General features: G+C 56.0%; 7 annotated features.

Annotated features, from left to right (window-relative positions):
* Positions 226 to 726: an enhancer, noted in NCBI's record as "H3K4me1 hESC enhancer chr9:132310394-132310894 (GRCh37/hg19 assembly coordinates)". NCBI's record gives its function as "activates a minimal SCP1, AML or CMV promoter by ChIP-STARR-seq in primed H9 embryonic stem cells {active_cell/tissue: H9 hESC(primed)}" and the evidence as "EXISTENCE:reporter gene assay evidence [ECO:0000049][PMID:30033119]".
* Positions 7,114 to 7,761: an enhancer, noted in NCBI's record as "H3K4me1 hESC enhancer chr9:132317282-132317929 (GRCh37/hg19 assembly coordinates)". NCBI's record gives its function as "activates a minimal SCP1, AML or CMV promoter by ChIP-STARR-seq in naive H9 embryonic stem cells {active_cell/tissue: H9 hESC(naive)}" and the evidence as "EXISTENCE:reporter gene assay evidence [ECO:0000049][PMID:30033119]".
* Positions 8,409 to 9,056: an enhancer, noted in NCBI's record as "H3K27ac-H3K4me1 hESC enhancer chr9:132318577-132319224 (GRCh37/hg19 assembly coordinates)". NCBI's record gives its function as "activates a minimal SCP1, AML or CMV promoter by ChIP-STARR-seq in primed H9 embryonic stem cells {active_cell/tissue: H9 hESC(primed)}" and the evidence as "EXISTENCE:reporter gene assay evidence [ECO:0000049][PMID:30033119]".
* Positions 9,057 to 9,702: an enhancer, noted in NCBI's record as "H3K27ac-H3K4me1 hESC enhancer chr9:132319225-132319870 (GRCh37/hg19 assembly coordinates)". NCBI's record gives its function as "activates a minimal SCP1, AML or CMV promoter by ChIP-STARR-seq in primed H9 embryonic stem cells {active_cell/tissue: H9 hESC(primed)}" and the evidence as "EXISTENCE:reporter gene assay evidence [ECO:0000049][PMID:30033119]".
* Positions 10,351 to 10,996: an enhancer, noted in NCBI's record as "H3K27ac-H3K4me1 hESC enhancer chr9:132320519-132321164 (GRCh37/hg19 assembly coordinates)". NCBI's record gives its function as "activates a minimal SCP1, AML or CMV promoter by ChIP-STARR-seq in primed H9 embryonic stem cells {active_cell/tissue: H9 hESC(primed)}" and the evidence as "EXISTENCE:reporter gene assay evidence [ECO:0000049][PMID:30033119]".
* Positions 11,009 to 11,153: an enhancer, noted in NCBI's record as "145 bp enhancer 89 fragment used in the MPRA reporter construct; PK_construct_427". NCBI's record gives its function as "activates an SV40 promoter by MPRA in HepG2 cells {active_cell/tissue: HepG2}" and the evidence as "EXISTENCE:reporter gene assay evidence [ECO:0000049][PMID:23512712]".
* Positions 11,074 to 11,087: a transcriptional cis regulatory region, noted in NCBI's record as "HNF1 motif; enhancer activity is reduced when this motif is scrambled". NCBI's record gives its function as "necessary for full MPRA enhancer 89 activity {active_cell/tissue: HepG2}" and the evidence as "EXISTENCE:site-directed mutagenesis evidence [ECO:0005528][PMID:23512712]".

Below are 14,934 nucleotides of genomic sequence, written 5' to 3' on the forward strand. Positions count from 1 at the left end.
TTCTTGAGCAGTGCAGCCTTGGGCAAGTCACCAAAGCGAAATCCTGGTAGCTCATCTGTAAAATGGGCACATTACTGGAGGAAGCCTGGCAGCAGGGGGGTGGGGGAGCTTCTCACCACTGCCCACTCCTTGCTGCACGTCTCTTGGGTCCACCTTGGAGGGGGTTCGCAGCTCACAGTTAAGAGCTCAGACCTGGGTGTCTGGCAAGGCTGGCTTTGAGTTCCAGCTTCACCGGTGACTGACTGCGTGTCAGCAGCTCAGGCCCTGCCTTTCAGTCTCCTCATCCATAGAAAGGAATGTAATGAGTACCAACTCCCTAGGATTGCTGGGAGACAATACCTTTAAGCTCATGGCATGTCCTAAGTGCCAACTCAGTGCCAACTGTCACTTTGTGATTGGCTGAAGTTTCCAGGGCTCACGGCCTGGAGAGGGCCACTGGCTCAGGGACAGAGCCAGAACCAGATCTTGAGGTCCCAAGGAGTGATGTACATGCAGCAGTGAGCACAGGCTGTTCCTGGCTGCCCTGTCCCCTCCCCACTTGCTACAAACCTTTCTCTGAGAAGCCCAGGATCTCACGGAGGCTCTAAGATCTGCAAGGGCCCGACCCATCTCTGGAAGAACCCTATGTGACAGGCCTCCTTCCCTCGTCTGCCCCTTCCCAGGCTCTGCAAGGCCAACTCTCCCAGAAGGCAGCAGCACGTCCTGCCTGCTGCTTTGCTGGGCTCAGAGGAAACCCTGTCCCAGCCCGCCGGAAGGTGGTGACTTCCCGGGCTGCTGTGTCCAGAGGCAAGCGGCCAGGCTCCACCAGGACCCGTGAAACAAGAACTGGAGCCTTGACCCTGGTTGGTCTGAGTGTGTGTGTGTCCTTGTGGAAGTCATGCTTTGGACCTTTGCCTTTGGCTCCCTGTTTGTTCCTGGAGTGCCATGATACACCCACCAGCCCTGGCCCAAATCCCCCTGCCTCCTGGACACTTAGCTCAGGCGTCTCAGCTGAGGCTCCCTCTCTATTTATGCACTGGGCTCCAGTATTTGCAGGCTTCTTTTAGAGCCTTAATAGTAAACTTTCCCAACTGGGGCTCACACCCATGGTTGTGCTTGAATGATAGTGGTCTGACATGAGGGGGTTAGAAAACTCGGTTATTCTCTGATGATGCCTGCAGGGCTGCTGGGGAGTCTGTCTGCTCAAAGGCATCGATTCTAAGGACTCCAAATGGACCCTCGGTTCTTGTCCAGTCTCTGTCCTCGTACTTCCTTCCATGCTGGAAGCTTACTAAAAGGGACCGTGTATGCCAAGAGCTACTGGTGTTATCTCCTTAAACCCTCCCAACCTAGCCCCATGAGGTGGCGCCGACTGACAATTCTATTCCCATTTGACAGCTGGGCCAGCTGAGGTTCCAAGTATAATTTGCCCAAGGACACACCCAGCCAGGAAGTGGAAGGGCGGAATTTAAACCCAAAGCTACTGACTGGACTCCAGAGTTCAGCTTTTACCCTCCTCCCTGGGCAGCCTCCACTCTGCCTGCCAGGGCCTGAGTTCTCAGAGGGCAGGGGCTGTTTCCGGCTCAGCCCAGGTGCCGTCCAGGGCCCAGTGCAAGGCCCAGGACCTGGCTGGTATCTAGGTGGCACCGAATGCATTCAGTCTACTGACAGAAGCAATACAATGTGTGTGCGTGACAGAGAGGCTGTCAGACACACAGGAACAGAGGGAGAGGAGAGAGAGAAAGAGAAAGAAAAATAGGAGGAGGCTCACGGGGTAGGCCGGTGTCTGGTCCAGAGCCCCTCAACCCACAGCCCAACCAGAGAGGAGGACCCCCGGTGCTGGAGAGTGGGACACCCGAGCCTACCCGCGGTGCTGGGCCCTACTCAAGGCTGTAAACCAGAATGTAGAGGTGGTAATAGGGAGCCGCAGATGGTCCGGGAGCAGGGGAGTGACGCAGTGCGGTGCCCACACCACCTGATTGGGTGCAGAAGACACCAGCCCAATCCCACGAGAGCTGGGCGGACCCGGCGGACCGCGAGGGAAGGAGGGGGTGGGCGCAAGTGGCAGCCCTCCTGCCCGTGTCAGAGCCCACGCGACCGCTCCAGGCGGGCTCGTTCTCGGGGGAGAGGGGACGGCCAGCGGGAGCGGCCGGACTCTGGGATTTGGGGAGGCCGTGGGGGAACGGTTCACTGGCCTTCTGGGGCGGAAAGCGGGCGAGGCGACCCCCAAGAGAGCCCCGGCCGGGACGCGCGGACCCCAGAAGCTCGGGCGGGGGCGCCCCTCGGAGGAATGTTTCCGGGGCCCGGACCGCGCCGCCGCCGCAGCCTTTCCTCCCTCTCCCCGCCCGGCTCGCCGGCCGCCCTCGCGCCCCCTCCAGGGCCCCCTATCTTCCCCCACCCGAACCCCACATCACTGCCCTCCGGGCCGGCTGCGCCCAGGCACTTGGTGCAGATGTAACCTCTCCGCGGGCCCCGCCTCCGCCGGGAAGCCGCGCGCGGTTGCCAGGAACGCGGCAGGCGATCGGAGCTGGACGGCGGCCCGGGCATCTCGGCACTGGCGGCGCTCGGCCCTCCTGGGCGGCCCTGGCCCGGCCCTCTCCCCACTGGCGCCGCTGCGCTTGCTCCGATTCCCTCCGCGGGGCTGAGCCTCTCCACCGCGCCCCTACCCTCCGATTCCGGTCTCTTCCGCTGCCTCGGATTCTTTCCCTCCTGTGTTCCCGCTCCTCCCCGATCACCTCCTACTCGCCCCCTTTCCTTCTGGAGCAGAGAGTACAAGAAAAGGGGTTCATCCACCCCACTCTTCGCCAGCCCGCTGTGGGGTGGTTGGGGTCCCCATGTCCCCCTTGGTAACACCTTCCCCACCGTCTCCCCAGGATCTCAGGAGCCCCCTCTCCCTCAGACAAACAGATCTTAAGCTGGGCTTTGTGGATGACCTTGGGTGGGGGGTGTCCCTGAAATTCTGTGTCACATTTGGGGTGCATTTGTCTGGAGAGAATCCAAACATTTCATCGGTTTCTCAAAGACACCAGTGGTTAAGAAAGGTTAAAAAAAAAAGCAGTCCCAGGTCGGGCGCGGTGGCTCACGCCTGTAATCCCAGCACTTTGGGAGGCCGAGGCAGGCAGATCACTTGAGGTCAGGAGTTCAAGACAAGCCTGGCCAACATGGCAAAACGCCGTCTCTACTAAAATACAAAAATTAGCTGGATGTAGTGATGCGCACCTGTAATGCCAGCTACTCCGGGAGGCTGAGGCATAAGAATCACTGCAGCCTGGGAGACCGAGGTTGCAGTGAGCTGAGATCTCACCACTGCACTCCAGCCTGGGCGTCAGGGGGAAACTGTGTCTAAAAAAATGAAAACAGGCCAGGTGCTGTGCGTGGCTCACAACTCTAATCCCAGCACTTTGGGAGGCCAAGGCAGGCGGATCACTTGAGGTCAGGAGTTCAAGACCAGCCTAGCCAACATGGTGAAACTCCGTCTCTACTAAAAATACAAAAATTAGCTGCACGTGGTGGTGCATGCCTGTAATCCCAGCTACTTGGTAGGCTGAGGCAGGAGAATCCCTTGAACCTGGGAGAAGGTTACAGTGAGCTGAGATCAAGCCACTGCATTCCAGCCTGGACGACAGAGCAAGACTGTGTTTCAAACAAACAAACAAACAGAACACCACAGCCCCAGTGATGCCTCCCATGCACCTTACTAATCTATGCAGCACTTATTTATTGAAGACCTACTATGCTCCAAGTGCATTCTAAGCCCTAGGGCTGCAGCTAGGAACTCTAGACAAGGACCTCACAGGAGACAAAGGGGTCATGACAGGTGCTCTGGGGCTGGGAAGGAACTGGGGAGAGGCATGAAAAGGAATGACAGGTGGGCTTCACCCAGGGCTGAGGTGTGGGGTGTCTCTGAGGACTTCACAGGGGCACTGGCACCTACCTGGCCTGCCCCCAGCCTCCCCACTTCCAGAACTTACCTTAGGAGTGCAGCCCTTGCCCACTCTGTTCCCACAGCTATGGTAAATAGGACTCAAAACATACTTGGGCCGGGGGGGTGGAGGTCCCCAACTCTACCCCACCCTCTGCTCTCAGTGAGCTGAGATCGAGCCACTGCACTCCAGCCTGGAGTAGGTAGAGCCCAGAGTGGCCCAAAGGTCTGTTATATGGAGACAGGCTCCAATTTTGAGTCTGTGTTTGTTTTATCGTTAAGAACAACAGCTAGCATGTATTGAGCACTTTCTATGCAGCAAGCACTGCAGTAAGCATTTTTTGTGCCTTTATTCACCACTTGAGCAAGTTTTCTACAGAGCCCCTCCCCTTGCCAGGCACTGTGCCAGATGCTGGGGCTATGCAGTGGGGAGGCAGACAGGCCCTTGCCCTCATGGAGCTCACAGACTGGTAGAAGAGACAACAAATGAATTCAGAACGAAGCGCAGCCTGTCATAAGGACCAGAAATGAAATCAGCGAGGTAATGAGATGGACAGCAACCAGCCAGCAAGGGAGGACGGGGCGGCTGCTTTGGATAGGGGTGGTGTCTTGGGCTATAACAAAATGCCTTAGACTGGGTCATTTATAAACAATAGAAATTTATTTCTCACAGTTCTGGCGGCTGGGAATTCCAAAGTCAAGGCACCAACAGATTTAGTGTCTGGTTAAGGACTTGTTCTCTGCTTCCAAGATGGTACCTTTTAGCTGTTTAGCTGTGTCCTCACATGGAGGAAGGGCAAAAAGGTCCAAGCAGACTGCTTCAGGCCCTTTCTTTCTTTTTCCTTTTTTTTTTTTTTTTTTTTTTTTTTTTGTGAGACAGAGCCTCTGTTGCCCAGGCTGGAGTGCAGTGGCAATCACGGCTCACTGCTACCTCTGCCTCCCAGGTTCAAGCTATCCTCGTGCCTCAGCCTCCCAAGTAGCTGGGATTACTGGCGCCTACCACCATGCCCAGCTAATTTTTGTATTTTTAGTAGAGGTGGGGTTGTACCATGTTGGCCAAGCTGGTCTCAAACTCCTGACCTCAAGTGATCCTCCTGCCTTGGCCTCCCAAAGTGCTGGAATTATAGGCATGAGCCACCACGCCTGGCCCTCAAGCCCTTTTTTAAAGGGATTAATTTCCTTTGTGAGGGCAGAGCCCTCACCACCTAATCATCTCCTGAAGGCCCTACCTCTAGTGCATTGGGGATTAAGTTTCAACGTGAATTTTGGAGGAACACAAACATTCAACCCATAGCAGGTGGGCAGGGGGCACTGGAGCTGAGACCTGAGGGTGAGAATGAGCTGGTCTCTCCAAAAGCCAGGAAGAACTTCAGAGGCAGAGGAACAGCCTATGAAAATGCCCTTGTCATTTTCACAAAAATCTTGTCAGGTGGATACCAGTACTGTGCCTGTTTTACAGATTAGGAAATTGAAGCTCAAAAAAGTGAAACTCCTTCTTGGATGGAGTCACCCCTCTGGGACCAGATGGAGCAACCCCTGGAACCCAGAGCTCCCCTCCCCTTTTCTCTGCCCCCTTTCCCCGACTTTGATCCTAAGAACTGGCCAGCAGGCCCTCTGCAGGCAGCAGTGTGTGGCAGTGTGCAGGAGAACGTGCTCAAGTCTGGATCAGGAGGCCTGAGTTCTAATCCTGTCCCTGCCTCTCCCAAGCAGGGTGATGTTGGGTGATTCACCTACCCTCCCTGGGCCTCAGTTTCCCTTCTGTGTCATCACCCCGGCTAGCTTAAGCAATAAGCATATCCTTATCCTAAGAATAACATACGGCATGCCTCTCACAAGGTCACAGTCCAGCAAAGTCAAGGACATAGAGAGCTTAACAGACGATGCACACCCAGAAAGTGCTTGATGTAATCTGATCATAACTGTCATCCGATTAAATCAAGTGTTGTTACAGAAGTGGTTTTTAACCTGGCAAAAATGAGACAGGGTTTTTTGTTGCTGCAGGGCATCAACGGAAAGGGCAAGAGGGGTTGCCTTCTGGGTCTAGCTCTGTCACCCAGGCTGCAGTGCCATGGTGCAATCATGGCTCACTGCAGCCTCGACTTCCTGGGCTCAAGCAATCCTCCCTCCTCAGCCTCCTGAGGAGCTGGGACTACAGACGCATACCACCATGCCCAGCTGGTTGTATTTTTTGTAGAGACGGGGTTTTGCTATTGCCTCAAACTTTTGCTAAAGGGTGTCTGGCAGCATGGCCCCATACCCCCTTTAATGCTCTTCCCCAAGCACTTGATCCCTGTGTGTCTCTTAAGGACGCAGCTCTAGCAGGTGCCATCTGCACCTTTGCCCATCAGGTACAAGGAGGAGATTCTGCTCACTTAGTCCTTTCCTTAGCAGGAGCTGACTCAGACCCCACTGTGCTCCCCCGCTGAGGTGCAAGAGACAGGAGGCAAGAAACGCTGAGCTGAGAGAATGGAGAATCTCACAGCTGGTGGTAAATTAGCAGTGAGGGCCAGGCGGGTGGCTCACACCTGTAATCCCAGCACTTTGGGAGGCCGAGGCGGGTGGATCACTTGAGGCCAGGAGTTTGAGACCAGCCTGGCCAACACAGTGAAACCCCGTTTCTACTAAAAATACAAAAAATTTGCCGGACATGGTGGTGCACGCCTGTAATCCCAGCTACTCGGGAGGCTGAGGCAGGAGAATCGCTTGAACCAGGGAGATGGAGGTTGCAGTGAGCTGAAATCGAACCACTGCACTCCAACCTGGGTGACAGAGCGAGACCCCGTCTCAAAAAAAAGTAAAGAGAAAAGAAAAAAAGGAAAGAGAAGGTGGGACCAGGTCTTCGAGGCCTGAGGGCCACACAGGGGAGTCTGCTTGGATGGCATGGCTTCCTTTTCCGCACGCTGCCTCAGAGGGGATGCTTTTGGCTGTAAGTAACAGGAAATCTGACCCCGGCTAGCTTAAGCAATAAGGATATCACATGGCACAACACAACAGGAAGCCCAGAGGTGGGCAGTCCTCTGGAGTCCCTTCTTCAGTGGGAGCTTATTCCTCAGGGAGCAGCGGAGGCCACCTGCTTCCTTCCTTGAGCCCAGCAGGAGGGAGAGAGGGCCTCCTGGGTCCAGCCTGGACCAACCTAGATCCCCAGGAGATGCTGCTGTGTGCTGATTGGCTTAGACCAGAGCTCCTGAACCAATCAACTGCCAAGGAATTGGCTGAGCCTAAACAAGGCCGGCACCTAGAGCTGGCTCATCCCCCAATCCAGTGCCGCTACACACTGATAAAACAGAAGGGCAGGCCAGCGAGGTGGTTCATGCCTGGGAGGCTGAGGTGGGATGATCACTTGAGTCCAGTAGTTCAAGACTACCTAGGCAGTATGGCAAAACCCTATCTGTACAAAAAATACATAAATTGGCCAGGCGTGGTGGCACATGCCTATAGTCCCAGCTACTGAGGAGGCTCAGGTGAGAGAATCCCTTGAGCCTGGGAAGTCGAGGCTGCAGTGAGCTATGATTGCACCACTGCACTCCAGCCTGGGCAATAGAGCAAGACCTCATCTCAAAAAAAAAAAGGAGGATGTTTGGTTCTTGTTTGCAAAAGACCATTCACTGCAGGGACAGGGACAGGGGCTTGGAGCCTGAGCCCCCCCTCAACCAGGCTTAGAGTGTGAGGGGCTGTGTCCACCTCTTCCTGGTCTCTGCCGCATCCAGCAAGCACAGGGCCAGGCATTTCTCAGCCCAGCATAGTCTGCACCACCCAATGCCTACAGATGAACCCACAGATTAATCATCCCGTGCCAAGTCCTGTGCTGGGCACTGGGATGCAAAATCTCTGGTGGGGACCACAGAAAAGAAATAGCACAGGGATAAGATGGCAGCAAATAGCAATAAAGGCCCCACTGTCAGAGGCATGTGAACCAGAGCAACTCCATCTTGAATGGGGCTGGGTAAAATCAGGCTGAAACCTACCGGGCTGCGTTCCCAGATGGTTAAGGCATTCTAAGTCGCACAGGATGAGACTGGAGGTCGGCACAAGGCACAGGTCATAAAGACCTTGCTGATAAAACAGGTTGCTATAAAGAAGCTGGTTAAAACCCAACAAAACTAAGATAGTGATGAGAGTAACCTCTGGTCGTCCTCACTGCTACACTCCCACCAGCGCCACGACAGTTCACAGATGCCATGGCAACGCCAGGAAGTTGCCCTATATAACCTAAAAAGGGGAGGCATGAACTGCCGGGAGCAGGGCCAGCAGTTGGGAAAGTCCGGGCGGCCCTCCGTCTCAGGCTGGGAAGGCCCTTGTTTAGCATATCATCAAGAAATAACCATTAAAGTGGGCAACAAGCAGCCCTGGCTGCTATGTCTATGGAGTAACCACCCTTTTTTATTTGATGGAGTCTCACTCTGTCGCCAGGTTGGAGTACAGTGGGGAGATCTCGGCTCACTGCAACCTCCGCCTCCCAGGTTCATGTGATTCTCCTGCCTCAGTCTCCCGAGTAGCTGGGACTACAGGCACTGGCCACCACACCTGGCTAATTTTTTGTATTTTTAGTAGAGACAGGGTTTTACCAGGCTGGTCTCGAACTCCTGACCTCAGGTGATCCACCCGCCTCGGCCTTTTGCCCAAGATCCAAGAACCCTCTCTTGGGGTCTGGATCGGGATCCATGGTGGGATCGGGATCCCACCATGATAACTGAACCAAAGAACAAGATCTGGGGTGAAGGGATGGGAGATGCTGTGAGACCAAGTGGTCAGGGACGGTGTCTCTGAGAAGGTGACGGTTAGGCTGAGACCTGAAAGCTGAGAAGGAGCCAGTCACTCCAAGGACAGGGGGCGGAGTGGCTCCTGGCTGAGAGAACAGCATGTGCCAGGGCCCTGTGTCAATGCCTGCTCCTGGTGGGGTACTGGGGAATAAAAAGTCACATCAGTCCCTGCCTCTCCTCAAAGACAGGTGACCCACAGCGCTTCACATATCATTGCCCAGGACCAGCAACAATAGGCCTGGCCATTAGCAAGGGGATGAACAGACAGGGAAATACTACTGAACAATGGCAGGGGAGGGCTACGGAGACAGGCCTGGACAGGGACAGGTCCCAAATAGTACGCTGGGCAGAAACCAGGAGAGGCAGAGTGCGTGCTCTGATTTCAGTTGGGTGAAAAGGCAAAACTGTCGGTGGTGATGGAGGTCAGGCTGGCGGTTCCCTCTGGAGGGATGGAAGCCATCGGCTGTCTTGCCAACAAACATGTAAGAAATTGTGGGTTATACGTTGAAGATCAGGGCATTTTACCAAACGTAAAATATACATCAAGAAAGTACTAAAAAGAAAAAGTACTAAAAATAAGAGAAGATACTATGTGGCCTACAAGGAAAGAAAGAATCCCCCTCCCCACAGCCCACCTCCTTCAAACCAGGAATCTCCTGGCAAGCTTTGTTCCGAGGTCAGCTTCGGGGCAGAAAACAACAGTCCCCGCTCCCTTCCAGAAAAACAACCCAAACCCCATCCCCCATCATCTACAGAGGATGGGGCTGGGGCCTTCCCCCTTCTCTTCTCCTCCCGGCTCCTTCCTCCTCCCTCCTAAGGCCCAAGGTCCAGAAGGGGGTCCCAGGGTGGGGACAGGGTGGTCCAGGAGCAGGTCTAGCAGTTGGGAAAGTCCGGGCAGCCCTCAGTGTCAGTCTGGGAAGGCCTGGGCCTCGCCCGCAGCTGGGCTGTATGTAACCCGAGCCTCTGGCTAAGCGGATTTCTCCCAGGGCAGGACCCCCTCCGGTTCTGGAATGCAGCCTGGGGCGGGAGGTGGAACTGAAGAGGGGGTAACAAAGGGTGACACCGCTTTGAAACTCCGCTTCCTGCCCCCCACCAGCCTCCAGCCTGAACAAACACGCCCTCTCCTCGCTGGGCCTTTGTTGGGAGAGGTGGGGCTGGCCCAGGGCTGCGGTGGCAGCTTCCGCCCCTGCCAGGGCAACCCCAGCCAGGCTGGGGTCAGGGCTTCCACCCTCACCCCCACCACCCATCCTCCAGGCCCAGAAGCCCGAAGCCCACCTCCCACTCCCCTCTCCCCTTGGTTTCTCGAGGGTTCCTACTTGAGTGGGGGCGCCAGTGCTAGGCCCACCCGGTCAGGATCCAGATTGGCCCCCCATGCTGGGGACCTGGCTGTCAGGGGGGTCGTAACACCTTCCAAAGAGACACCCTGTCCCCACATCCCCACCATGGTGGTCCCCGCCTCACCCCTGTCCGCTGGGGCTCAGTCTAGCTTTTTCCCTGTCTGTCTCCTTCTTACCCTGCACACCCTGAAAACTCATCTCCATCCAACTCTGCCTCACTCTCCTCTCCCACCCCACCATTCCCACGTGCATACCGGGGCCCCAGCACACAAGATCCCCAAGCCCAGGCTATCCCGTCCCAGTGCCAGGACAAGACCACCAGCCCGGGTCCTCGGAGCCTCCCTCTCCCCGACGCCCCCTGGGACCCTCCCCTTGGCTGCTCACTCCCCTGGGGACTGTCCTCTGGCCATCCTGCTCCAGCCTCCACTGCGGGGACCCTCAGTCCCCTCCTCAGCCACCAGGCCACAAACCCTGCAGGACAGCCAGGCGCAGCGGATGGGGTGGCCTGGCGGCCAGGCCACTGGAGGCAGTCCCCAGGGAGCCCCGGCGAAAGGGAAGCAAGGATAGAAGTCATCTCGATGGCAACAGCCCTGAGGAAAAGGGGGTGCCGCCAAAGGTGAGCCAGGCTGGAGTGGGCTGGGAGCCTGCCAAGGACCCTGACGGCACCAAACCAGTGGGATATGGGCCAGTTGCACGGACCCTGCGGGGCTCCTCGGGACGTCTCCCCTCCACCAGCTGTGCTGATTTCACCCACACTGCCCGGGGGTCTCCCCTGGGCTCCCTAGCACTCCTGTGCCATCCCTGCCATGCACAGACCACTTTGAGCTGTCCTTGTCTCCATTGCCCCGCCCCCCTCCCCTGCCCATCTGGACTCCAGGGCCCTGCTAATCGCCAGGCACAGGGTGAGGGAAGGAAGGAAGGGAGGGAGGGAGGGAGGGAGGGAGGGACAGAGGGAGGAATGCTCCACCAACTACTCAGGTGCAGGCTGCCCCGACCTTGCAGGTCACGCCCACCCTCCGGGGAGGAACTGGCCCCAGCCTGGTGCTGGTCATTAACTCAATGCCTGGACTCGCCTGGTTAATGAATAATTAAGCTGGACAGAGTCTGACCTCGGGATGACCTTGAGCTGCCCGCTGCAATGTCCTCCCCCAGTTGGATATGTGACCCATTCAGAGCGACCCTGCTCTTCTTCCTCCCTATTGGTAGGTTCTGAATCCTGGGGAAGGACCAGACAGGAGAAGTCCTGACCCCAACTCCCGAGGGCCCCGGCCAGCCCAGGAGGCCACCACTCCAGCACACAGGGCATGAGGGACTCCTTTCTCTCCACACTCCTTGCACGTGGGCTTCCAGCGCTGAGCGACGCTAGGTCCAGCTCTTCCCCTACCCACAGCCACCCCACCCCTGAGTTTCAGTTTCTCCATCAGTCACCCAAGGAGGATGGGCTCAGCATGACTGTGATTCCCTCCATGTGGCTGTGGAAATGGGTGAGCATGTGGCAGTTGGAGCCAGATGCCTTGGAGACCACTTTGTCATGCATAAAACAGAACTTCAGAGCCGTAACCAGCTAGAAAGAAGCCCACAGCAAGCTGGGGGGACTGGGAGGAGGATAGGGTCTGCTGACCCACAGTCCTGGCCTGTCTCCCCTTTATGCTAACCCTCCCTGTTGGGCTTTGTCCATTATTCAATTCAATTCATTCATTCATTCATTCAGCAGCTATGTTAGGCAGGCCTCTGCATGAGCGGCCAGGGTGAACCAGGCAGGGTCTTGCCCTTGGGGAGGCCCAATCCAAGGGACGGAACCATCCAGAGCACTCAGCGCAGGTTTGCAGAGGACAGAGGCCCCCTCCCCTACCTGAGAGGTCAGAGGGCACCTGCAGCAGGGCCTCTCCCATGCTGAGCCTCAAGGAAGGGAAGAGAAGAGGGAGGCAGGAGCTCCTGGAGGAGCAACCGCAAGAGCAAAGGACTTGCAGAGAGAATGTTCCATTGGGAAAATTCCTAGCAGTTCGGTTTGCTTGGCTGTCTTGAGACACAATGAGCCACAGATAAGAGTTTTAAAAAAAGACTATAAGGAGCAAAAGGTTTGAAGCCGGGGTTTGAACCTGGGGAGAGTCTTGGTCAGATCTATTAAGTAATTGCGGTTTTTGCAATTCCTTTTTTTTTTTTTTTTTTGAGACAGAGTCACTCTGTCGCCTAGGCTGGAGTGCAGTGGCGTGATCTCAGCTCACTGCAGCTGTCGTCTCCTGGGTTCAAGCGACTCTCCTGCCTCAGCCCTGCCCCCCCACCCCCCCAGGAGCTGGGATTACAGGCGTGTGCCACCATGCCCAGCTAATTTTTGTATTTTTAGTGGAGACCAGGTTTCACTATGTTGGCCAGGTGGGTCTCGAACTCCTGACCTCAAGTGATCCAACTGTCTTAGCCTCCCAAAGTGCTGCGATTACAGGCATGAGCCGCTGTGCCTGGCCTACAATTACTTTTAATTGCAAAAACCACAGTTACTTTTGCACCAACCTAATACACTCTGGAAAGACGGCCCTGGCTGCTGCTGCGTGGAAAATGGCTTGAATGGAGCAAAGCCGCAGCCCTGGGTAGCTATAAGGGATCACCCGGGCAGAGGGAATGGGGTCTGGATCAGTGGCAAGAGGTGGGAGAAAAGTTGACATATTCCAGCATTATTGGTGATTGACTTTCTTTTACTTTTACTTTTTTTTTTTTTTTTTTTTTGAGACGGAGTTTTGCTCTTGTTGCCCAGGCTGGAGTGCAATGGTGCAATCTCGGCTCACTGCAACCTCCGCCTCCCAGGCTCAAGCAATTCTGCCTCAGCCTCCCGAGTAGCTGGGATTACAGGCATGCGCCACCACACCCAGCTGATTTTGTATTTCTAGTAGAGTCGGGGTTTCTCCATGTTGGTCAGCCTGGTCTCAAACTCCCTGAGAGGGAAGCATGAAGGAGAAGCAGGTGGGGAAGACTGGGGTGGAGGGAACCTGGGTGGCCCACAGGGACACCTAGGGGAGGTGTTCAAGGGCAGCAGACGTGATGGTTCTGGCGTTCGGAAGGTGATTAGACCGGAGATGGAAGTCTAGGAAGCCATGAGTGTGATGGACACTGCCCGGGAGAGCTGAGGGCCAGAACATACCGTCAGTTACTCGAGAGGTGAAGCAACAAGCGCCACGTGGGCGGCCTCATGAGTGACCTGCAGAGAGCCAGCAGGGAAACCGAAGGATACGTGTCAGAGATTGGGTTAGAGTGACAAGGCCATTGCTTAAAGGTCAAGTCTGGTGAGGCTGGTCTGGGTTCCCCCAGCTGGGGCTGGCACCAGGGCGGAACTGTCACAGGATATTGTATGGAAAGTGGTAGGCATGAGGAGTTCTGGGAGGGGTGGGATCTGTGGGGACAGAGGGTTCTGGAAGAGGGGGGTGAGCTTAAAGTGCTTCTGAGGACAGTGAGGGCTAGGTGGCCAGGGGCAGTGTGGAGCTAGGGATATCTGACCTTCAGACCTCAGAATGGGGCCGAGGAGGCAGTGATCAGGTCAGGGTGTCTGTGGTACAGGGGGCACAGTGGAGGTCCCTGAGGATGATGGGGTGCAGGAAGGGAGAGGCCAGCGTGTCGGCCAGGGTGTCTTTCTGGGTACCCAGAAGGGACACTCTGAGTGGGGAGAGAGGACTCTGGGTGACCCCAGGTCTTTAGAGGATGAGGGGTCACACCAGAAGGTGAGTAGCTGATCCCCGGTGCAGGGGTGACAGGAACACAGAGAGAGGGTGTTCGGGGTTGGGGTAAAGTGTTCTGAATTACTGAGATATCGCCCGCAAGCTGATTTTCTGCACCGGGGGCTACATCGCTGTCAGCCAGGATGCAGCCCAAGGACGGACATGCTTGTGTGTCTGGCTTGCCTGGGCAGCTCCAGTTGCGGAAGAGGAGAGCCCTGGCCCACCCCCGGCCTGCACTTTGAAGCCAGGGCTGTGAGATGGAGAAAAACTCGAGAGAAGCCAGGATCCACAGCCGGCCACTGGAGCACGGCACCTTTAGAAAAGAGGCCCAGGCGCAGCTGCGACGAGCGCACGCAGTGGACACAGGAGCGCAGCACGGCTCAGTAACCTCAGAGGCGCTTGAGAGGCTCCCTTGGCAAGGGCCCCAGGAGATCTCAGCCTGCTCGAGGCTGCGGCAGGCTCCCGCCCCTACCAGCCCTGCAGGCCTGCGGGAAGCAGGAGGAAGCCATTTTCCTGAACCCCAGCTGGGCAGTGGGAAGGCAGGGGTGAGGGGCAGCTGGGTGGCGCTGGATGGCTTCTGCCTCCCTCAGCATCCCCCATCAGGCAACCAGCAGCCGAGCTCCACCCCATTCTCTCTGTCCTCCAGCAAACCCGGAAAAGCACGCTCCTCCCCATGGCAGGCAGTGTGCTGTGACCCCTAATGAGTGTGCCCTTGCACACACCCAGGGCACCTCTCAGAATGTGCACAGAGGCACAAGCACCCACAGAAATGTTCGTGCACTCAGGGGAAGATACCCACACAGACACACGTGTGTGAAGGGGAATGACACAGATGCATATGCAAAGAAACCACAAAGGTGTGCACAGAGATTGTGCATGGCACTATGCATGCAACTGCACATTAAACGTACAGATGTACATACAGCCATTACATACGCACCCGTGCAACTCCCGCAGCCACAAAGATGCCCGTTCCATGTGCTTATAAACATTCACAGAAATTTTCACCCGCTCGCAAATGTGCACTGAAAACCAAGTACAAATGGATAGACATGGGCACATGTAAGATGCACATACAAATGTCCACAAAGATGCACATATACGTAAATGCTCACATGCACGCGAACATATTCATGATTGTGCATGCATGGAGCTATTCGTGTTTCTACATCTGTCCATGCAGTCAGCATTACACAGACACAGCGAAGGAATGCAGGGAACTTTATCCCCCA

This window comes from Homo sapiens, chromosome 9 (assembly GCF_000001405.40).
Source record: "Homo sapiens chromosome 9, GRCh38.p14 Primary Assembly".
NCBI lineage: Eukaryota > Metazoa > Chordata > Mammalia > Primates > Hominidae > Homo > Homo sapiens.